At 40.7% G+C, this 25,341-nt stretch overlaps 1 protein-coding gene and 1 pseudogene across 2 annotated transcripts in view, besides 1 other annotated feature; both read right to left on the reverse strand.

Annotated features, from left to right (window-relative positions):
* The window catches only part of QRFPR (pyroglutamylated RFamide peptide receptor), a 52,377-nt gene extending 27,606 nt beyond the window's left edge, over positions 1-24,771 (reverse strand). For both annotated transcript variants that reach the window (NM_198179.3, XM_017008693.3), the window contains exon 1: positions 24,061-24,771. In NM_198179.3, coding sequence (NP_937822.2) covers positions 24,061-24,400 — 340 coding nt within the window. In that variant the 5' untranslated portion in view covers positions 24,401-24,771. The remainder of the gene's footprint in view (positions 1-24,060) is intronic.
* On the reverse strand, positions 13,186-14,041 carry KIAA1191P1 (KIAA1191 pseudogene 1; annotated as a pseudogene).
* Positions 24,557-25,341: an enhancer, noted in NCBI's record as "H3K4me1 hESC enhancer chr4:122301959-122302743 (GRCh37/hg19 assembly coordinates)". NCBI's record gives its function as "activates a minimal SCP1, AML or CMV promoter by ChIP-STARR-seq in naive H9 embryonic stem cells {active_cell/tissue: H9 hESC(naive)}" and the evidence as "EXISTENCE:reporter gene assay evidence [ECO:0000049][PMID:30033119]".

The raw sequence follows: 25,341 nt of genomic DNA on the forward strand, positions 1-25,341 counted from the left end.
GTTGCTTAATTTTTAAAAAATTATTTCAATCTCTTTGTTAAATTTCTCTGATACAATTCTGAATTCCTTCTCTGTGTTATCTTGAGCTTCTTTGAGCTTCCTCAGAACAGTTATTTTGAATTCCCTGTCTGAAAGGTCACAAATCTCTGTCACTCCAGGACTGGTCACTGGTGCCTTATTTAGTTCATTTGGTGAAGTCATATTTTCTTGATGTTTGTGAACATTTGTCAATCCTGGGCATTGAAGAGTTCAGTATTTATTCCAGTCTTCACAGTCTGGGCTTGTTTGTACCTATCATTCTTGAAAGGGCTTTCCACGTATTCAAAAGAGATTGAGTGTCATGATCTAAGCCTGTGGTCACTGCAGTCTTATCAGTACTAGGGGGCAGCCTAAGAGTACTGCAGACTCCTAGGTACACTGCTCTGATGGACTTGGGTAAGATAAGGAAGAATCCCTGAGCTACCAGACAAAGTCTCCAGCTCTCCTCTCTCTCTCTTTCCCCTAATCAGAAGGATATTCTCCATTATGGGCTGCCTGGAACTAGGGGAGAAGTGATGCAAGCACTCTCATGGCCTCCATAGCTGGCACTATGCTGGGTCACACCTGAAGCCAGCATAGTCCTGGGTCTTGTCCAGGGTCTCTGAATCCTACTGCTTGGCTCCACTAGGGCTGAGAGGGGGTCTATTCTTTCTTGAAGAATATGCCCACACAATACCTTGATCATACCAGGTTTCCGTTAGCAAAGAATAATATCAAACAAAACCTAAATAAAGAGTTACTCTATACTAATGCACAGGGTGTTTGTATTAGTTTCCTACTGGTGCTGTAACAAAGTACCACAATCTTAGTGACTTAAAACAACACTAATCTATATGTTACAATTATGGAGGTCAGAAATTTGAAATGGGTCAACAGGGCTGTGTTCTTTCTAGAGGCTCTAGGGGAGAATTCATTTCCTTGCCTTTTCTAGTTTCTAGAGGTTGTCTGCATTCCTTGGCAGACAAGAGAGGATCATTGCCCATATGATAATGATAGCATATTATTAATTAAATGCCATGGACCTGAGATCCTAAGAGAGAGCATGAAAGCAAGAATAGTCAAGAACGTAGGGGGTGGAAAGGAGAGAAAGAAAGAAGGCAGTCGAATATTTCTGCAACAGAGATAAGGTAAAATAAAAAAAAATTTAAAGCCGTAACCAGGAATTCAGACCACTCCCTATCTGCTGATCCAAACAGTAACTACCAGTTACATTTTCAGCAGTCGCTCAAAGGCAGATATTCAGATTCCCTCCCAATTCAACTCCCTTCCCCTACACTGGGAATTCTAAGACGTAGCGCCAGATTCCAGGTCCTAGAAAGCACTGGTTCTTGACTTAGCTATATGTTGGAATAACCTGGGAGCTTTAAAAGAAATTGATATTTAGATCCACTCTGAAAGATTGTGAATTTTAGGGCATGCTTGGGGACTTAAGCTTTTTAAAGTTCCCAGGTGATTTAAATAGGCAGCAAAGCTTAAGAACCAAATAGGCCAGAGAATGGATTTGAGAGAGAGCCCTCACTTCAAGGTCTACGTTTCTAACACTGCTTCCAACTGAAGAGGTTAAGGGGCTTCAGGGGGAGAGGATATTCTTTGTCTTTCACTCAGATTTATTTTATATTCTATCTTCTCTTTCATTCACATATTTGTTCATTCACTCACCTATGGGTCATACACTACTCCAGGCTCTTTAAATACAGGCTGTGCAACATATATACTCTCCCACCTCCTCTTCCTAGAAGGAGACTAGACATGAAACAATATCTCACAAATAACCATAAAATTACAAAGTAGTATTCAAAGCAATTCTTTTTGAATATAGTCAAAATACTTTTTAAAAAAGCAAAAATCTGGGTTAAAGTTGATTGTGAGATGACAAAAGAAAACCATGCCTTAAAGTAATAATAGCAGGTAATACCTAGAATGTTGTTTATTGCTTATTGTCAACATTATAAGAGATACCTACACTGGTAGACTGGTAAATGTTAACAAGCAGCTCTCCAAGTTAAAAAGACCTTGCTTTGTAATGTTAGCTAATTTTTCTGATGTAAATACTCCTGACAGAGCCAATTTCAAAACTACCAACACAATATCAATGAATGTGGAGTTCAGAAGAGATGTACACAATCAGCTCTCATGGGCTGGTACAAACTAGCACAAGCATACCATTGGCTATCTGATAATGTTCAAATAAATGATAACTGAAAAGAATTCCAACTTCCATACATATTTTATTTATTAATTTTTGTTTTGTTTTCTCTTCTATTATTTCTTTGTTTCTGAATCATTTTCTTTATTCTTAACAGAATAGTTGGGGGAAGGGAAGTTTGTGTTTTATAGATGACTCATCTTTCATCTCTTTCCCTGCACTGCTCTCATAAACTTGTGGTGTTTTGCAACAGCATGAAATTGCCTCTTTACTCTTTCCTGCTCTATCTCTTCTTTTGTCCTTATTTATGACATAAGCTTGCCAGAAATGTCCTTGATCATGGCTGAGCCACACTGATCACAATGTTCTAAGTTATAAAACTAATTTCCACTGTAGGAACATTTCTTGAGCAGTTACCATGTGCTAGGTACTGATCTAATAAGCATTAACACCATCAACTCATAGACTGTCTTGACAACACTAAAAGATAGGTGATATTATTATTTCTGCTTGTATGAGGGATAAATGAGGAATAAAGTAACTTGTCCAGGGTCATGTGTATATCCAGTAAGGGATGAAGACAAATAGTCTGGCTCCAGAGTCTGTGTTTGTAACCACTATGGAAATGCATCCCCCAAATCCCAGGTTTTCCACAATTAGTGTAGAGAATAGGCCTTACAAAGGAAGTAAGTATTCAAGGTGTTTCAATGGTTTGGAAGCACCAATATGACCTCTTTTAAATTGCTTCATTACCTGCCAGATTAATAGAACTCTATTCTCTACCTATACATATGTTTAGGTTTGGAAGACAGCTGATGTGATGGTTAATACTGTCAACTTGATTGGATTGAAGGATGCAAAGTACTCTCCCTGGGTGTCTTTGTGAGGGTGTTGCCAAAAGGGATTAACATTTGAGTCAGTGGACTGGAAAAGGCAGACCCACCTTTAATCTGGTGGGCACAATCTAATCAGCTGCCAGTGAATATAAAGCAGGCAGAAAAAACTTGAAAAGGCGAGACTGGCCCAGTCTCCCAGCCTGCATCTTTCTCCCATGCTGGAAGCTTCCTGCCTTTGAACATCAGACTCCAAGTCCTTCAGTTTTGAGACTCGGACTGGCTCTCCTTGCTCCTCAAGCTTGCAGACAGCCTATTGTGAGACCTTGTGATTGTGTAAGTTAATACTTAGTAAACTCATATATATATGTGTGTGTGTGTATATATATGTGTATATATATATATGTGTGTGTATATATGTGTGTATATATGTGTGTATGTGTGTGTGTGTATATATGTGTGTGTATATATATATTTGTGTGTATATATGGGAGTGTATATATATATATAGGAGTGTGTGTGTGTATATGTGTGTGTGTATGTGTGTGTGTGTATATATATATCTCTCTCCTATTAGTTCTGTTCCTCTAGGGAACCCTGACTAATACGGCTTATTATCACCATTTTCCTTCTTTTCTATATCTCATCTCTGTAACTTGCATGTGACCCTGCTCCTTTCCCACCTCGTTTTTCTAAACACTATTATTTTTTTCAGATCTTATTGGGGTAACATTTCTCAAACATTTTTTGAGCAACAGAGTTCCTCTATTATGAGTTAGTAATCTCTGCACATAACACAGTCCAAAATTAAAATTTATTGTGTACAATGAGTACACGACAAATTTGCTTTCAGTAACTGTGTTTACTACAGTAACAAAAACAGTCAGAGAGCTATGTAGCCCTAGGCAGAAATCATATATAAGATGATAGTGATTCTGCTCTGTCACCACTTACACCTTTCAGTGTAATCTAATGTAAAATGGTTTGCCTTTGTCATAGGCTCACCTACATACAGACATTACAAGATGGATAAAAACTTAGTACTTTCTTAGAAGCTAACCACAGGTAAATCATTTTTTCATTTAGTTGTGTTCCTTATAAATTGCAAACACCGATTCTTCCAGTTTAGTATCCCAATTCTGAGAGCTGGCTAGAACAAAGCATTATCACTTCGATGGACCAGGATTATGATACTGCTGAGTTCTGATGGGTTTAATTTTTTTTTAGGTCAACTGTGCTTGCCTGGTTCCCCTGGGTAGCCTGACTCCCCTGATAGTAGTGGTTTTGACCATGATCATCTCACACACACACGTATCCAAAATTTTTACTACAGTAATGCTCTTTGATATTTTCTATTCCACTGTATTTCCATTTTGTAAAACTGCTAATATTGACTCACCAAATGACTTCATGACTCATTCATGGGTTGCAACTCTTACTTTGAAATTCACTGCCTCAGTAGTGTTGCCTCTGCTGCAAAATGAAGCTCAAACTCCTTAACACAGCACTAGAAAGTTCTTCAGAATCTGCATCTTCCCTTTCTTTCCAACTTCATTTCTCACCACATCCCCTCTGAATGCCAAACTCCAGGCATACAGAACTATTCACATTTTCCAAAAAGCTTGTTGTCTCTCCCCAAGCACCTTCCACAACATACACTGTGTGCTGTTCGCCCTTGCATCCCTAGTTCAACATAGTGCCTAGCATGTGTTAGGCATTTAATAAATGTTAGTTAAATGAGCAAGTGAATGAGGAAATGAACAAATGACAAAAATGCTATGAAAATCTATTCAGAAGAATGTACTGTTACAATAATATCTCACAGATTTAACTCTGAAAATCCAGCCACACGCTACAGAAACGAGAAAAAGCACTCAATTTCCCTAATTATAATTAGAGAAATTTGTAATTTCTGGAAACCAGGATAAATAGTTTCACAAAGACCATATTTACTTTGAGGAAAATTTCACTCATTCAATTTGAATCAGATGGATCCAGTCTTCAATAGATAAAGCAGACAAGTAAAAGTGATAGTGTATTACATTCTGCACCCTCCTTGGTATAATGATGATGTGGAAGTTAAGCTTTACTAGCATAGAGTCCTGATTACTGTAGCAACTACTTCTATGATATTATAGATAATCAGAGAGAGATACGCAGCCATGGTCTATTTGCTAATAAAAAGTGCTCAGTGGTGGCCTACCACTACTGGCCAAAATAATCTATCCCGTGTTCCTCAGAAGCAAAAGTGGAACACAGCAATGATATATTTTAGGCCACTAGGTCTCAAACTTTATTGAACATATGGACCACTTAGGGAATTTTGTTAAAATGCAGATTTTGATTCAGTAGGTATGTGATGAGGCCTGAGACGATTCTGAAAAAGTTCCAGGTGATGCTGATGCTGCGTGTCCATGGACCAGGCTTTAAACAGCACGAAAAGTTCACAATAGATTGAAGAATTCCTGTTGCTCCTAAGGAACAATATTTCCCAGACTAAAATATTTTTTTCACGAGGTAACTAGGCCGCAAGTTTGTAGTATGACAACTTGACCTAATGACATGTAGTGCTGGAAGCAAAACAATTTAATAAAAGGAACGGCCTCTTCCTTCCTTTGCCCACTCCCAACACTGCTCCTGTTCCCTTTTCAAATTACAAAGAACCAGTACTATTTATTCTAAAATAAGATATCTTCCAGTTGCCAGTGAAGCAACCACTTTTTATTTACCTCCATATAAGGAACTTTTTAAAAACAATAACTGCAATTGTCTGCAATATTCTATATTGCTGCTACCCAGAGCTAAAACATGTTGAAAGATGTGTGAAAGCCATGCAGAGCCCACACAGCTCAGTATATAATTCTGGCTCATCAGCCTCTCACCTAATGATTTTTGTTAGAGATTTTCTTAAGGTTTTTTAATGAAAGATAAGGAAATCCCATTCTCACAGAGTCAGCTTCCCATCTGTCAGTAACATCTGTAAATCAAGATTTTCTGACCATAATAGAACAATATGGCTGGTTTTCTTTTAGTTCTCTTTCTTTTTTAAAAGCATTTTTTTTTCTATGTACCTTTATCCAGGAAGAGGGGAAAAAGTGGGGAGAGGAGACAATGTATGCAGCTGCTTTCACTATAAAGTCTTTCTTTGGCATGTTGACGTAAGAAAGGCAAAATCCCAGCAAGTTATTTTCTGGACATCAACAAACTGATTCTAAAGTTTATATGGAGAGGCAAAAGACCAGGAATAACTAACACAAAATTGAAAAAGAAAAATAAAGTTGGAAGGCTGACACTACCCAAATTCAGACTTATTTTAAAGCTACGTTAATCAAGATAGTGTGGTATTGGGGAAAGAACAGATGAATAGATCAATAGAATAGAATAGAGAGCTCAGCAATCACATAAATATAATAAACTAATCTTTGACAAAGGAGCAAGACAAGAAAATGGAGAAAAGATAGCCTTTTCAACAAATGGCACTGAAACAACTGGACTTCCACAGGAAAAATAAAAGAATCTAGACACTACGAGAAAGACCACTTAAAAAGAAGTCTGCCTAGGATAAAAGCAAATCCAATTTAGATAACTAACCATACTTATCTGACATGAAATACCCATTATTGTTATTGAAATAAACTTGTAAATATATCATGCAGAGCTGTTCTTTCAAAAACTTCAGGCTTTCATAGATAAATGTAAAAGAAACAATTTAACCTCTCTGGAGTCCATGCAAGCCTAGCACATTTTGCATCCTCCAGAGATTTCTTAAAGAAGGAGCCAAAACTAGGCCGGGCAGAGTGGCTCATGCCTGTAATCCCAGCCCTTTGGGAGGCCAAGGTGGGCAGATCACAATGTTCAAGACCAACCTGGCCAACATGGTGAAACCCCGTCTCTACTAAAGATACAAAAAATTAGTTGGGCGTGGTGGCGCACACCTGTAATCACAACTACTCAGGAGGCTGAGGCAGGAGAATCACTTGAACCTGGGAGATGGAGGTTGCAGTGAGCAGAGGTCGCGCCATTGCACTCCAGCCTGGGCAACAGAGTGAGACTTCCTCCATCTCATAATAAATAAATAAAGAAAGAAGGAACCAAAACTATATAACCCTTCACATGTCAATCATGCTGGCCTAAAGCACTGCCCTTCCTTACCAACCCTGCTGAAGCAGAGGTCTCATGTGCATCACATGAACCATCATTGCTACAAAATAGCCTTGCCATAATTCTAATTATTTTAGGTTCCCCCAGCCCTTTTCCAATTGAACCATACTGGACCCCAAATCTAGGCCAACAAGGTTCCTTCTTTCTCTTTGGAAAAAGAATAAGGAAATACAATGAAGGTAGAGTTAGGAAATGAATTTAAAAGGATATATAGAAAAGCCATATGGTAAGAGTAAGAGTGAGGGGCCACAGGGACTATGAGAAAGTAGAAAACCTGAAGACAAGTTAGTATAACAGGGCTAAAATTTATTAATGTATGAGTTTTCCTAGCTTCTTTCTCTCTTCCACCCTTCACTCTTTCACTAAGAGAAAGCCTTGCTGAATATTTCCCTGTACTGGCCATTTAATTATCCAGATTGTGGGGAATATCAGGATGGGATAGTTGCATGAATAAGACTGAATTGAAGGAGAAAGAGAGAGAGGCAGAACAGAAATAAAGGGAATGGTGAAGAAGGGAAAAAGAAAAGCCTGCACTGGAGTGGAGAAAAGCAACCAGACAGCGAGAAAGTCTAAATGATAACTGGCTGAAGTTATCATTTTCATAATCAAGTCATAATCAAGTCAAGGAACATTCAGCTGGGGTCAGACTGGGAACTTGCCACAAAAGGGTTGAGGGAGCTTGAGGTCCTGCGTTACAAGGGCAGGAATCAGTAGGATGGCTCTGTATGAATACGGGTGTGGTAACATCATGCCTACAGTCCAGGGTGGCCTGGAAAAACACTCTACAATTGGGCATGTCTTTCAAAGCATGAGCCTTGCAAAGCATGAAAGAGTTTTGTGGAATGTTACCGAATGTAACAGAAAAAACTTGAATGGAATGAGAGAAAGGGGTTCTAAGGCATGTTAATTGAAATGTCTAAAAACTTTTGGCTGGGCATGGTGGCTCACGCCTGTAATCCCAGCACTTTGGGAGGCCGAGGCGGGTGGATCACAAGGTCAGGAGATCGAGACTATCTTAGCTAACATGGTGAACCCCTGTCTCTACTAAAAATACAAAAACAAAATTAGCCAGGCATGGTGGCGGGTGCCTATAGTCCCAGCTACTCTGGAAGCTGAGGCAGGAGAATGGTGTGAACCTGGGAGGCGGAGCTTGCTGTGAGCCGAGATTGCGCCACTGCACTCCAGCCTGGGCCACAGAGCGAGACTCCATCTTAAAAAAAAAAAGAAAAGAAAAAAGAAAAAGAAAACTTTTTGAAATATGTAATTAAAGATTAAAATTATTTTACGTTAGTGCTGGTCACTGGACTAAATTTCTTTGAGTTTGACACTGTACCTAGCCTGGTCTTTCTGGAGTACTAGGATGTATTCAGCCTACAAGAGTAAAGGGAAAGGTAGAGGATATGAGATAGTAAAAACATAGAATAAACCAAAAGATTAACCACCATAGCAGTAAAAAGCAATTCGATTTAATAAGCAGGTCTTTGTTTACTACTGGAGAGAAGTAGAGTCACATTCATGGCCCAGCCCTGGAGATTCAGGAATTCTTTATGCTGAGCTCCATACAGCTGTTTTTTGGGGTTCCATTTAAGTCTCCATGAGACCTACTAGTTACTGTCTTTAAATTTAAAAGAGATCCCTCTCTTCATCATTGCTACAAAATAGCCTTCCCATAATTCTAATTATTTTAAGTAAGTTGAATCTTTTTTCTTGCAAAACTACAATATTCACAAAAGATAAATACAATCTCATCCTTATACACAACACAAAAAAGGAATATAACTGATTCCTAAAAAGCTGTGGGCGGATCATGAGGTCAGGAGATCGAGACTATCCTGGCTAACACAGTGAAACCTCGTCTCTGCTAAAAATACAAAAAAATTGGCTAAGCATGGTGGCAGGCGCCTGTAGTCCCAGCTACTCGGGAGGCTGAGGCAGGAGAATGGTGTGAACCTGGGAGGCAGAGCTTTTAGTGAGCCGAGATCACGCCACCGCACTCCAGCCTGGGCAACAGAGCGAGACTCCATCTCAAAAATAATAATAAATAAATTAATTAATTAATTAAATTATATATATAATATATATAATATATATTATATATATTATATATAATATATATTATATATAATATATAATATATATTATATATAATATATATTATATATATTATATATATATAATATATATATTATATATATTATATATTATATATATATTTTATATATTATATATTATATATATTTTATATATTATATATATATATAAAACTAGTGTCATCTCTTTCCCAGAAATCACTGTTTGGATCAGGTTCATATTGACACTTAGATTTTGATCCAGTAAAATTCATCGTAATAAGAATAAATCCTTTATTGTTTGTAGACATTACAGTAAAGAATTTTTTTAAAACCAAGCATGTAGTTTTATCTGTAGAATAGCTTCATGGTTACTTTTACACTTGAGCCAATACAGACTTCTATGAATATGTATATATATTAGGGGCCTCTGCATTAGTAGACTTGCGGGCTGGGTTACTTATAGTCAGTGTGCAAGAGTCAATTTTCACAAAGATCTATGAGGAAAAGATCATGGCAGACTTTCACTACAAAAATTTGTCTTCCAGGTCTCAAACTAGTACCTGAGTTCGAGGGGTGGAACTGCTGAAGGCACCCCTGCACAAACAGGGCCAAAGCAGGTGGTGAAGCATAATTCACTGCAGAAAGTGAAATTCTTCCCCGTCAGTATAACCAGTGTGGTTAAAAACCCAACACTGAAGCAGACTGGTTGGGTCAAAGCCTGGCACCAGTATTTCCAGTCTATATGAGCTTGGGCATTTTACTTACTATAAAAAATTAAGATTTTTTTTTAAAGGCTACAAATTCCATTACTTTCTGTGAGCTCTCTAAAACATGATTTTGCCACTTGTCACATCAAGTGGAGGAATCTGTTTCCCTATTCTTTGAATCTGGGCCAGTGATGTGACTTGCTTTATCACAGAAGTAACATTTGTGTGACATTCAATCCTAGGTCTTGAAAGATTCTGGTGCTTCTATTCTCTCTCTCTCTTTCAGAATATGGTGCCTCCACACAAAGAATTCTGGGTATCCAACCGAAAGAGGAAACCATGTGGGACAGGGATGGCCTGGCCCTTGCTGAGGTCACCAGTTAAAACAATGAGCCCCTATGAGGTCACCAGATAGATGTAGCACTGAGAGTGAACAAAGTGAGACTAGCAGAAGAACCATCCAGATGAGCCAACCTGAAATTGCTGACCTGTAGAATCATGAATGATTCTTTAATCACCTAAATTTTTTGTGATTTGCTGTGCAGAATAGCTAATTAATACACTAACACCTCTCTGAGCCTCCATTTTCTCATCTGTAAAATGAGGATAATATTATATTTGGCACATAGTAAGCTCTATGTTAAGACTTTGGTATCCATTTTCATATTATTATTTCCACTTCTCTGCAGTGCATAGCAAGGCTCTAGTGCCCAGGATTGCCCAGATCTCAGCAAGTCTGCACCAGCATCACAGGAAAGTCAAAGGACAATATTCATACACCTGACATCATTGTTTCACGGTCACTCTCACCCTGGTGTCCAAATTGAGGTGCCGTCATGTACCTCTTTAGGCTATGAACTAAACAGCAAGAATGTCAACAAGATAACTGGCTGCACATGTCCATTATCAAGGGAGGTTCCGCTGGGGTGGGATAGGGAGTCAGGCACACAGGGGTTGAGAAAAGTTGTCTTAAATTACGAGACAGAGGCAGGGGACAGTGGGACCGCTTCCTAGGAACATTGGTGTTGCAACATTGTGCCCACAGTCTGGGTGGCCTGGAAAGACACATGAGCCTTGAAAGGAACTACAAAATCAGCTTCAGTCCCAACAAATTTTTTTTAACACCACTTTATCCTCCTCTAGAGATGTATTATTGCTTCTGAAATAAATGAAAGCAGCACCCTTTTCTGTTTTCTGAGTACAAATGATTAGTTTGAATCCTCATAGTTTGAGCATAAAAGTAATTCTTTTCATGTAAATTGTATTTATGTGAAATAACTACTTCATTGTATTTTATCATAAATAAACTATAATGGACCTGGTTTTTACAGTTGCTTTGTAAAAGTACACACCAAATATATTTGAGATATTACTAACAGTGCAACAAGTTTTTAAAAAGTTCTCTAATGTCCTTATTGTCTCTAAAATTATTCTACACACAAATGTAGCTAACACTTTAAGTAGCAGAACTTCGAATATGTGAACAACAATTATAGTTTCCTTTCTTTGGATACCCTCTAGGTGCCTGGTCCTTTTGACACCTGGGGTCATTCATTGTCACAGCAACACTGTAAGGTGGGAATAAGTTTTCCTAAGTTTACATATTAGGACACCAAAGCAAAGAGAAATTAATACCACAGTCAAACATTATCTTTGCCAACCTACAACATTTGCAGATTTTTTTTTTTTGGAGAAAGTAGTAAGGATTTTTATTGTCAAAACAAGAGATCACAATAGAAGACACAAATAAATTAATTCTTATAATTTTAGACTCCAGGGCCTCTCTATGGAAAGGCCAGCTTCTTACACAGACAAGGTACTATCCAAAACAAAAAATTGGGTATTTGAGACAGTATTCAAGACAAAAACTGAACTTGTACACAGTGAGGAGAAATAAAAAAGTGGTTTCCCTATTTCCCTCCCTCAGTAAGGTTATGTATTGCATAAAGGGATGAGGCTCATTTTGGTGAAAAATGCTTTCATACAGAAAATTTTGAATTCATTCTCCTCCTCCCACAGACGTTCCAGGCCCTGACCTGAACAAGGAAATCAAAATAAGGTAACACCACTGGCTCCACATAAACCTCAAGACTATAATCTAACTGTACCTACCATCTCCTTTACTTTAAAAAAGTTTAAGTCCATTTACCTATACCAAGTCAGTAGACTGAATTTTCTCTCTTAGGAAGCTTTTAACCAAATTGCAGCTAAATTAATCTCACTTTAAAGTGCAAGAAAGGCTCTGCTAGACTAGTGTTTGTTCTGTGGCATAGAAAGAGAAGCATGCCTCCCCTGGCACTGGCCTAAGAGGCCCCACATGAAGAACTGGTTGCAGGACAGTGATCCATTAGGTCTACCAAAAAGCAGGGGGACTCAAGGTTCAGCCTAGAAACAGGGGTCCCTGCCAAGTCTGGTTTTACCTATACCCAGGTCCCAAACAAATCTTGGGTCCCCTTACTGATAAGGCTGGAGCACAGCACCAGCCATCAACAGGGCCAGAGTCGTCTCAGCCAGTCAGTGAGCACCTCTACGCCATGATTTGTCAATGCTCACATGGATAGTGGTAAGGAATCAAGAAGCCTGGGTTTTGGAACAGCACAAACATTCTTTACCTAGTAAGCAGTGATTGAAGTTCTTACCTAGGGTAAATGATGAAAAAATAGGTAATGAGGTCCCCATACACCACTGCTGAGAATATTTAGTCTAACTTTAAAGCAGTACAAAATGGCTTCTTCCACACAACAGGGGCAAGCTTTGTATCAATATTTCTCAAAAACCAATTGTATCTCCAGCTCTAGCCTCAATTTAACAGGTTTTTTACTTTATTTATTTATTTATTTAGAGACGGAGTCTCACTCTGTCGCCCAGGCTGGAGTGTAATGGCGTGATCTCGGCTCACTGCAACCTCTGCCTCTTGGGTTCAGGCAATTCTCCTGCCTCAGCCTCCCAAGTAGCTGGGACTATAGGCACCCACCACCATGCCCGGCTAATTTTTGTATTTTTAGTAGAGACAGGGTTTCATTGTGTTGGCCAGGCTGGTCTTTAACTCCTGACCTCAGGTGATCCACCTAACTTGGCCTCCCAAAGTGTTGGGATTACAGGCGTGAGCCACTGTGCCCAGCTGATTAAGTTTTTAAATATACCTTTCCTATGTCAAAGCCAAGATAAAAGGGCAGTGGAGTGCAAGAAACCTTCTTTACCAGAATCCCTGGAAAGAAAGGGCTCTAGAAGCCAGTGGGTGTGAGCACATTCAAGTCACGGGGTTTGAGATTATGTGCCCGTGGTGGCTGTTTCCTCCCTTCCGTCACTGGGAAGTCCATCTTGGGTGGCTTCAAGGCTGCTGGATCTTCAGCCATTCGGTTGGCCTGGGCACGGATCAGTTCCATTGGAGAGGGCTTCTGGGCTCCTCGGTAGGCCTGGGTGGCAAAACTTCCAGAATCATACTTCTGAAGGGATCTCAGTCCAAAGAGGCCCCACTTATCTGACAAGTTTCTGTCCTTATCCCCACTTCCAGAGTCCATGGTGCTAGGATTTGGGCCAGGTAAGGCTGTGGAAGAACCAGAAGTGAACCAGCCCCTGGGTCTCTGCTTAGGTGAAAAGTGAGAAGTGGTGCTTGGGGTGGACAGGGCTGATGCAGGTGGCCTCTCTTCTTTTGTTATCTCTCCACTCTGCAGCTTTAGTTTGTGGAGTGCTTCTGCTACTCTAAGGTACTTGGTCTTCTGAGTGGTGACACCCTTGTGGGTGTGTAGCCAGGATCTCTCAGCCCTGCCTGTTGCCCAAAATGCTGAAAGCTTTCCTGGGTCTGTTTTGTGATCACATAATTCATGACGACATGGGTAGCTTTAGCCTTCACCACTGGGAGCTTGTCCACACTGTCAATGGCCGATGACAGGGACTGGCAGGGGAGGGTAGACTGGCCTCTCCTTCCTCCACCTTGGTGAGGTGCTGATACTTGTGCTCTGAAATCACTGGCTTCCAAGGGATGCTGCCCATGTCTGATGGAGGAGGAGTCATGGGTGCAGGGTCCTTGAGGGTATCATCATAGCTGAGTGCCCGGCGGTATATCCTGAAGGGCAGGGACATCTTGCCTAGAGGCCCACTAGCCTCAAGAGCAGGCACTTCTGGTTGTCTTGAAGCCATTGAAAGGCTGAGATCCAGGTGTTTTTTCTATATAGAATCCCTGCCACCACGGTGAAATGATGTGACGACTAAGCTGACAGATGGATGTTAATGAGGAACATGGTCCAGCTGCTGCAAATTAGCAAAACTTCCCAGGAAGAGTCCATCCAGAGGTTCTGCTATCCTGCTGCCGCGGGACTGCCTGTGGCCGGGAGTCCGGCACTAAAAAGATTCCAAGGGCCTACATCCCCAAGAGGCTGTGGCGCATCTGGACCCAAGCCATGGTGAGAGTGGCAGTGACTTCAAAGGTCTCCAGGACTCACTAGGCAACACTACCCGACGTTTACAGATTTTAAATGCATCTCAATCCCACAGGAAATTTTTTTAAAACGTTAACATATTTTCATACATGTATTAAAGGGGACTTTAAAATGAGATTGCATAAATGAAAATATGTAAATACTATATGCTTCATAGAGAAATCAAATGGGAAGTAAGAAGAACTAGATATGCATTATATGCATTAATATTTTTGTGAAAATAAAGCTTGATCTAAAACCTGTATCTTTGTCATATTTTCTGCCACCACATCAACCACTGGGGGGCAGCATCAAACATTATTTTATAACTTCTCTCCTTGGTCTTCTAATAGGGGAAGCTTTAATGCCAGGCCATGTAACTTATAATCTAGTTAATACAAACACTAATAAAGGATGGAACAGGATTAGAACCCAATATTGTTTGATTCCACAATCCATGTTTGTTTTCACAGCATCTAACTGTTTCTCTATCCTTCTATTTCTCCCAGGATGTAGGAACATGCTGTCTTTTAAGATTTCTATTACCCTGAATAGCCTACAATCTCTCTGATATGACAGTAAATGTGTTTCTCCAAAACCAAGCTACAGGTAGGACTAATTTAGTTTTGCAAAGACAGATAAAAACAATAAGCACTTACTTAATTACTTCGGAATTCATCCTTAAGAATCTTTAGTTTTAAGGCATAAAATGAAACAAATAGTATAGCTTCTGCTGAATTTTTCTTAAAGGCACAGACTGAGAGGGAACTGCCAATATCAACTTCTAGAACCCCGTTCACTGACCTTTCAATAATTCCTTAGCAGAGGGAGAAGGCATATGTCCACTACTAGAAGGAATTGGCAGCCTGGAAGTTGGTCCACTGGGGAGTATATATCAATAAATGAGATGGGAGCAGCAGAGGGAGATCCCAGCACTCCATCCCAGACCAGGAAAGGCAGACAAGGAAGAGCCACTCAGAACTCTGGTTCAGCTTGGTCCTGAGAAACCTAGTGCAGGGCTTGGCCTTATGGGAAGACATATGATCGGGGAGCTTTAGTCCCTGTAAGTTGACTCACTCCACTAGACATAAATGGCCAACTCTGCTAAACATATCTACCCTGAGTACCTTCCTATGGAAGAACTTCATGCTAAGCAGTCAAGCCTTTCCAAGGGGCTTAGTGGCTAACAGGGTCCCAAGTGTCACTACTACAGTTGTTAGCTTGTCACACTTCCATTGATTCAGTTAGTAAGGAGACAATGAGCATCAATGGATTCAGGAAGTTTATTACTTGCACAGATGCCAAAGGCAAGATCAACACAGGAAGACACTGAGCCTTGAAGAGCAAGATGACTGACAGTATGGGCAATGGGTTGCCCTGCTGGGGAGGAGCAACCCTTAAACCACGGCCAAGAAATTGTACAGACTTACACAAAAGACTGTAGCTGAACCTTAAGTGGGAGCAAGGTGGGGAGAAAGGAGGGAAGTCTTACACTCAACGGAAACCAAACGGGAGATAGATAAGAGAAGGTCAGTCTCCCACAAGACAGGGATAAGAAACTGCCTCACAGTGGCTCCTCAATAGGCTTTTCTTCCTGCTGTAGGGGGTATCTCTGGGTGTTTGAATAGGAGTGACGATGGCGCTCCCTGAGGTGCGTGATTAGTTCTATGGGTAAGACAGCAAGGCCAAACTGGCTAGAATCCTTCCAGAATTTTCTGCAACTACCGGGAAGTATTCTCTCTCATTTCCTGAGATAAAAAGTTTTATTTTTTGTTCTAGAATTTTTTATTGTGGTAGAATATATCTAACATAAAATTTATGATTTTAGCCATTTTTAAGTGTATGATTCAGTGGCATTAATCACATTCACAGTGTCGTGCAATGAACACCACTATCTGTTTCAAAAACTTTTTCATAACCCCAAACAGAAATCTAAGCATTAAGCAATAACTCCCCACTCTGCCCTCCCCATAGCCCCTGGTAACATTAGTACCTTTTCTGTCTCTATGACTTTGCTTATTCTAAATAGTTCATGTAAGTAGAATCACACAACATTTGTCCTCTTGTGTCTGGCTTATTTAACTGAGCATAATGCTTTCAAAGTTCATCCATGTTGTAGTAAGTATCAGAACTTCATTCCCTTTCATGCCTGAGTGATATTCCACTGTGTGTATACACAGCATATTTTGTATATCCATTTGTCCATCGATGGACACTTGGTTTGAGACAGGGAGTTTTAAAGAAAATGTAAGCTTATAGCTCCTGGGGTCATCTTTCACACTTGGGCAAAAGACAGCTCTAGAATGAAACCACAACACAGAGGGAAGTGGAGCTGGCCGCCGAGGGGGAGGATGATCACTGTTGAAGACCTTAATCCAGTTATGCCTAAAACCAGCCCTAACTCTGACCTTTTCAGTTGCAGAGGTAGAATATTCCCTTTTTTTTCTTAAGGTAATTTAAGTTGGGCTTCTCTTCCCACAAACAAGAATCCTAATAAATCAACAACTTATCAAAGAATAGTTATGTTTTAGAAAAGCAAACTAAAAGGGAATTCATTTTATGCCTCCTAAGTGCACAGTGAAATATTTAAAACTTTCTTACTGCTAAATCCTTGTCATTATTTTAAATGTAAACTGTTCTTGTCCTAAGTAGAGAGAATCTTTTACATAAATGCTGTTGCTGTTACTGCCACTCTCTCACCTACCAAAAAAATTTAGTGACCTACAGCATCTTTTCTTCTCAAAGTGTGCACGTAATTGATTCTAGGAAAGATCAACCAGAGGCTGTCCACAGCATAATTCCTGACTTTATTTCCAAACTACTGTTGCTGTTGGACCTCTGTTTAATTTACATCTTTTTTAATACTTCCTTATTTTAAAAAGACTATTCTTCATCAATAGCTTTTATCATTTCTGTTGACTTTTTAAGCCCCACAATACTGTTGATTTTACACCAATCTTACCATATGTAAATTTCCCCAAGAACTCTAAAATTTCTGAAATATCATAGAAAAAAATTATATAACACATGTAACTGATGTTTTCTAGTCACTGATTGAATAATAAAATGGGACCGAAGAAGTTCCAGGTTAAGCTCTCTGTTCTGAATTGGCCCTCAAAATTAAGATCTTTTCACTAAATGAAGTTCAACAACCTCCTTTAATTCATTTCACAATGTATCAGCTCTCAATCTCTAAAAACACACCCTAACATTTCATGTTGTGTACAGTGAGTGCTTTCTTTCTCTCCCTCCTTTCCTTCCAGTTAAATCCTTTCATTTTTCATATAAAGTCATGCAAAATTCTAATTCTTAAAAAGAGAGACAGGAGCTGTTATAATGAAGCTTGGAGCTTCGCCTACTACCATTCTGTTACCCGCCCACATCCGCTGTGGCCCTGGGCAAAATAGACTGAAAAACCTTTGTGGTGAGGTGTGCTAATTTATAACTAAAGTTCTATTCTCCAGGCAAGAGAATAATTCTTCTTATATTTCTTTGTATGTCTTATATTCCAATCTTTTCACCATTTTTGAATCCTTTCCAAATTCATCTTGAAAGACTCTAAAAACGTTAAGGGCTTTAGTAAAGACGCAATAGGCTGCAGAAAACGGAAGAATTGCCTCTGAGCTCCTTGTTGGACTCCAGTTAATATAATCTACTTTTGCATTTTCTAAGCATTCTGACTGCCATTGCTATTTTTTAAATATATAATAGCTATATTGAGCTGGTACATGGGGTAGGCACTATACTTTTTTAAAAAGTGTTTACATCTATTATTTCTTTTAATCTTCATATCAGCCTGAGTCCTGGAGCTGTCAGCATTTACACTACATCAATGATTTTAAATCTTGGCTGCAAATTATAACTTTTCTAACTTGGGGAACTCCTGGTGCTGTCAGCATTTACACTACATCAGTGGCTTTCAACTTTGGCTGCAAATTATAACTTTTCTAACTTTGGGAACTTTTGAAAACTCCATACCAATTATAATCAGACCAATTAAATCAGAATCTCCAGGGGTAGGAACCAGGCATCTGTGTTTTAAAAAACTCCCAGATGATTTACTACATGTTGCCAAGATTGAGCATTACCACTCTAAGAGGAATTCTCATATCAGCTGCTGAGAAAATTAATTTTCTGTGTTTTCTTACCCTAATACTCTTCAAAGATAGTAAAAGTGCATGAATGTGTACTTCCCCCAACGATGCTGCCATTACTTAGAATATATTTCAAACTCCTTTTTTTTGGAATTGCTTTTAGTCAATTTGCCAGCCACTGCTAGAAAATTCTTTTCACTGCCCACGGCAGGATTTGGGGGAGTGCTGCAGAGCTGTGTGTGCACCTGAGGAGACCATCCTCCCTCTGGCTGTGCCGGAATCCACAGCAGGATGAAAGTGGATACAGAACCCAGCAGGATCCTAGCAAGGCCACTACTCCAGGCACACCCCAAACACTCCCCATTTCATCTTCTTAATGCTTAGAGTCATAAAGCAGGCTAGCATTAGAACTGATTTTCTGTCTCCTCCTGGGAAGTGTTCAGAATTAACATTCCTATGCCTTAAGTTTTCATTTACCTCAGCTACCACGAGTCCCATTCTCTCCCAGCCTATCCCTCAACTTTGGACTCAAACCCATCAGACTGTGAACATCCCCTAATCTGATTCAAGCTCCCTACTCCTCAATACTTGCACTGTGTGCTCTGGAACCCTGACATCTACAAAATGCCCTGCATTCTCCATTACTTCTTTGAATGCTTCCTCCCCCTTCTTAGTCTAATGGAAACTTGGCTTTTCCACAGAAACACAGCTTTCTCAATACCTGCAATATCCCAGTGCACACAGGAAATACCCAAGAAATGCTGAATACAGGAATGACTCATAGTGCCATTAATAATACTTTAGACTTTGGGCAGAGGAACAAGATACCATGAGAGAATGAGAGATGCTGGTAATATATTCATGTGTAAGTGCCAAGTCTTCAGATCAGGTGAAAGACCATGGCTTATGATATTGATTAGATACTATTTCAGAACCATCAGCAAAGAAGTGAGAGTCATGACTATAGCCTCTATGCAGAAATTGATGATGAAAGAAAAGAGGTTGCATGCTAAGCTTCAGTGGACACTTACTCGCAAAATAAGAGAAAGATTGAGAACTCTCAAAAGGCAGAAAATACAGAGATAGGGACATAAAGGAAACAAAGAGGCAAAAAAAGACTAGTTCATGGAAACTTAGAGAAGAGAGTGGTGTTCTGCAGCACTGGTCACAAGCAAAATCAGTTCTGTATTTAGCTGGAAGAAACAGAACATGTTCAGTGAGTGAATTTGGAGGAGCATTTGGACATTGTGAAGAAAAAGATAAAAAGGAGGAAAAAACAAAACAAAATGAGGAGGAACAGGCTGCAGATAAGGACAGGTAAATTTGGTGGCCCTAAGGAGGCAATGGACAAATCCACTTCTGCAGTCTAGCCCAGTAAATCAGAGAAGAGAACAGAGACAAAACTTTCCTAAAGGAAAGGGCCATGGCAGAGCAACTCCACCCTCATATGAGTAACAAAAAACTCATAAACATGTGCCATTTATAATATTTGGGTGCAGAGAATCGCCACTTCTGCTAGCTCCATGTTGGAAGGAGTCCTGGGGAGTAGAGAGTGAGTCAACTGGTAGATCAAAGGTAAGCCAATAAGGCAATGATGGTAAGGTGGATGAAAGGAATTGAATGTCAGCTTGCCTCCATGCTGGGCACACTTAGATGCTGTGGATCAGCTGTATCTCTTTCCAACTTTAGTGTAATTCATGTAAAAACATGTTTGTGGCTACACTTTGCCTCACCTATTATTCATGGTCCCAGCAGTGTACAAAAGAAAACTCAATGTCTTTGCTCAGTGGTGTGCTGGGAAAGCAACTGTTTGATTTCTGGGTTTGTTTTTTTTTTTTTTCACTTTTTTAAAAAACAGGCCTAACTAGTAAGTGCTGATTTCCATGATGTGAATACTCCCACCACAACCAGTTTTAAGATAACAACATGATGTCCCTGAAAGGGGACCTGAGTAGAGTTGTGCACACTGGGCTCTGTAAGGCAGTGTGGCTGGCTCCAAAGAGACAAGTGTAACTGGTTTGGGCTGGGGCTGGCGCAGGCCATTTTCAAAAGCCCTTCAGGAGATTCTCTGTGTAGCCAGGTCTAAGAGCCATTACTACTTCAAGTAGTACTTAACAAACTTTTTTTTTTCCTTATAAAGACCTGAGCTGACTTCTCTAGTGCTTATCAAACTTTAATGTGCACGTGAAACAATTGAGAACCTTGTTAAAAAGCAGGTTTTGACTCAATAGGTGCTGCTGGTCCCCAGCAAGAAAGAGGAATGGACTGAAAGAAGAATAAAACAGTCATTCACAGTCTTAGCATTGTCAGAAATATTTGAGAGACAGGCAATGTAGAGATGTGACAAACTGGAAGTCCATGAATTATTTCTGACCAAGCCATAGAGATGTTTTCTTTTACCTGATTGCATTTTACTTTTTGTATTTGACTTAGAAGTCAGCATCATAAAAATCTGTATTCCCAGCTTTTCAGAAGGAGAGGTGGGGAAGCAAGAACAACAACAAAAGAAGATGTGACAATCCTGGGCACCACTCCAGCATGCTGCAATCCTGCCCCCTTTAGAGGAGACAGTCTTCCTTTTGTCGCCGTTGCTTCCTGGTGATCTTCATTGCTTTGTTTGTGTTTCCTACCTCACCCCTGAAGGAATTTGAGGGGTATTCATATTTTAGGTTTTTACATAACTATATATATATATATTTTTTTTTTTTTCCTCCCCAGTTGCACTACTTTTCTGTCTCATTTCCTGCCATTCCCCACATATAACCTGTGCATTCTTGCAATGCCTTGCACGGTATTCTTGGAACACACCATCTTCTTTCTTCCCTCCAACTTGGCACTGACCCCTATTCCTAGAACACACTCCATCCTCTGCTGGAAAGAGTCTAAATTATTCTCTGAATTATTCTTCCAGACCCAGCTTGAACATCACATCCTTCAGGAAGCCTTCCTGACTCTTCTGTGCTCGTAGAGCAAAGTGGATCCTTTTTCTATCAAATCCTGTTTTTGCTCATTTTGGGGCCATCTCCTATTCTCTGAGGTCCTGAAGGGCACAGATAGACTTTACTCACTTTTGTACTCTCAAGGTAGAACACTTTTCCAGATAGGAGATCCTCAATAGCTTTGTAAAATAATAAATTATGAATTAATTTTTGGCTCTTAGATTACATTCTCTTGAACTTTGGTTAATTTATCAAGGAAATTTTGCCATGATTATCCTGTCCTATAATGCGCAAGTTAATTCTATTTTCATATTGATCTCTAGCCCCTCTGCATGCTCTCACCTCTCCCTCGCACTTCAATTTTGGTATTATTTACTCAATTTATAAGATCATTATTTATTCTATAAATCTGGTCCCAGATAAACATAGGCCACCTCCAATTAAACACCCCTTAATAGAATTAATACCTTATACTTTCATGGCATGACCAATATTTTTCAAAGCACTTTTACTAACACACTTTATTCTCACACTAACCCTATAAAATAAATGAGCAATATATTACTCTCCTTCAGTATTTAGAAGCTAAAGTGAAATGTTCTCCATGAAGTAAGAAGCAGGGAGAAAAGAAAACTTGAGAAAAACCTTGGCAGTGCCCAAATAAGCCCTGAGGATGGAAGATGCACCATATGGCCTTTCTTGGCCATGATTCCCCAACATGAACTGGAGCTAAAGATCTGGCTCACTGCACTTTTTTTTTTTTTTTTTTTTTTTGAGACGGAGTCTTGCTCTGTCACCCAGGTTGGAGTGCAGTAGCGTGATCTCGGCTCACTACAACCTCTGCCTCCCGGGGTCAAGCCAAGTCTCCTGCCTCAACCTCCTGAGCAGCTGGGACTATAGGTGCGTGCCACGATGCCCGGCTAATTTTTTGTTGTTGTTTGTATTTTTAGTAGAGACGGGGTTTCACCGTGTTAGCCAGAATGGTCTCGATCTCATGACCTCGTGATCCGCCCGCCTCGGCCTCCCAAAGTGTTGGGATTACAGGCGTGAGCCACCACGCCTGGCCAGACTCACTGCACTTTCAAACTTCTCTAATCCCTAATATTTTACTGAAAAATTGAGACCCAGACATACTAAATTAACATGTATTACAGCCAAAATAGTAATCCAGTTCTTTTGATCCCCACCATAAAATCCCACTTTGCATAATTATTTTCACCTTTACAAATGGAGCTATAATCATCCCCAGCACAAAGAAGCCTCATAAATCTGCTTTCACAAACATTTAGAAATGAAAACTCATGTGCTTTTCCCCAAAAACCAAGTTCCGTATGATGATCAAAAAATACCCCATTAATTTTATGGAGTTAGTTGCACTGAGCAACTTTAAAATGCCCAAATACAATTACTGCATCAGAGTGCATAAGAAAGTCTCTAATCCATAAATCAAGGTCTTACTTTCCACATTGTGTATTACTTTCAAGTCAATGCTCTGTACTCAATGTTTAATGCTTTTTTGAAAATATTTACATTATAGATTGATAAGAATCAAGGACTTTAACATTCTGACTGACTAACAGCAAACTCAGTTTAAGCTAATGAGAAAAAAAGCAATGCTCACGATCTCAAATTGGTAATGGTAGGATGAAACACCCTCCATGAGTTTAAGAGAATTAGTAATGGGATAGAAATAGCAGAGATTGAAGGCATAATGATCTATTTCTCTTACATTTCTAACCATTTTGATGTGGCCACAAGAATACACCCAACCGTGAAAAAGGGGAGGCCCATGGTGCACCTTAAGCACTGGTGAGAATACAACACACTACTGCTCCTGGGTTTACACCAGGGCATTCTCCAGCTGTGTTCTTGGAAAAGCTGGATCATCTCAAGAAATATATCTTTTTTTCCAACCTCCACACACTGCTCCCAACTCAGTGACTCCACCTCTCCTCTGTCATTTTTTTTCCCCCATTATACGGAAGGAGGAGAATGTTATCTCTTCTTTTATAATAGGAGGGCATCAGTTTTCTGTGTTCCTTCTTCCTGCATGACACTTAATACAGTTTTTAAAAGGACTAGTTCAATATATTTTTTCTGCACATGAATTATATTTGTTTTATGCTCATAGGTACAAGAAGCTGTCTGCAAGCAACTGGGAAGTGAGGCTGGAGGGTGGGGGAATGAGGAAATGAGATTTTTAACTTTGGTTTAATTATTTGAAATATTTTTATCTCACTTTTAGTAAGAAAACTAGGGGAGAAAAACCTGGTAATGACGGGAAAGGGAGCTGAAATAAGTGGCGAGGGGTGCGACTTCCTGCCTCACTGCTCGGGACCTTTCCGAAGCTTTTCCCCAACCTATGTCTCTAAGCCACAAGGAGGAAGCACTGGAGGGGAATCAGAGGCGGCCAAAAGAACTTATGTCCAGGTGAACACAGGTGGCGAAGTTCTAAGAAAGAGCACCGGATTCATTTGACAGAGAAGTGTAAGGAAGAGACAGACGAGAGAGAGACAGACAGACGAGAGAGGAGAGAGAGAGAGAGAGAGAGAGAGAGAGAGAGAGAGAGAGAGAGAGAGAGAGAGAGAGAGATCCCCTGAAAGGCAGAGGGTTAAGAGAGAAGGAGCGAAGGAGCGGGGCGCGACTCTTACCCCCCAGCCAGTTGTCGGAAATGTTCTGGAGCATGGTGACGGGAATGCAGAAGAAGGTGATGAGCAGGTCACTGAGCGCCAAGGAGCAGATAAAGATGTTGGTGACGGTGCGCATGGCCTTGCTGCGGGTCACCACGTAGAACACCAGAGCATTGCCAAAGAGCGCCAGGGCGAAGATGAGCACGCCGGTGAGCACGAGGGCCAGCTTGGCGCGTCCCGGCAGCTCTGGGGTGTAGACGAGCGGTCGCAGCCGGTACAGAGCGATGAACTGCTCCCGCGTCAGGTTGTGGTCCCGCAGCAGCCGAGAGAACTGCTCCGGGGTAATGTTAAGCGCCTGCATTGCTGTGCGCTCCCGGGACGCGGGGCCACCGCCCGCTACTGGCTGGCCATCCGCATCTGCGGGGCAGCGAGGGCTTCGGGGGACCAGCCGGAGGCCGCCTCCCTTCCTCTACTCTGGAGTCAGCCGCGCGGGAGGGCTCTAGGCTGCACCCCGGGAGGTTCGGGAAAGGAGAGCAGCTCAGGGATCAAACCCACGATAAAGAGGCGGGAAGCCAAAGCACTGGGAGACTCGATCTCAGTGACCAAAAAATGTTCGCGGTTCAAATAAAGTTCTTCCCTTGCTCTTCCCTAAGGCGAGGCGCCGCCACGGTCTGGGGTGCTGGAGCGCCACGCGAGGGTCCTGGCGCCTCTGGCTCCCCGCCTTCTGGCCATGCGATGCGGACGCCGGACCCGCTTGGGGAGCGGTGGAGGGTGGGGCTGAACTCGGTGACGCCTCCCTCACACCCAGCTTCAGTGGCGCCAACGCCGCTTCCCCGCACCCTCAGGGCGAGGGAAGACTTCCCTGGCTCACCAACTTGCTGCCGCCCAGCGCCTTTCTCAGGGCATGGCCCCAGTCAGGTAATGCTTGTATGTGAAACTGGGTATTGGGGGGTTCCACAGTTTCAAGTTTCTCCTCTTGCGTAATAATGGGAGCCACAACTACCCAAGGCAAATAGGGCTTATTTTAAATTATTTTCTGTATTGAAAAATAATTAAGATAGTTAAAATATAGAACTTGGGAAATGGCAAAGATAATACAGAAAGATCCTGCGTACCCACCCTTCACCCAGTTTCTTTCATTCATTACATCTTATTTAACTACGGAACAATACAAAACCAGGAATTTGACACAGGTACAGTGTTTGCATGTTTTTATCTCAAGTGTAGATTCCCGTAACCGTCAGGATACAAACTCTTCTATCACCACAAAAATCTCCCTGGTGCTTTTTATACTCACACCTA

Source organism: Homo sapiens, chromosome 4, assembly GCF_000001405.40.
Source record: "Homo sapiens chromosome 4, GRCh38.p14 Primary Assembly".
In the NCBI taxonomy this organism is placed as follows: domain Eukaryota; kingdom Metazoa; phylum Chordata; class Mammalia; order Primates; family Hominidae; genus Homo; species Homo sapiens.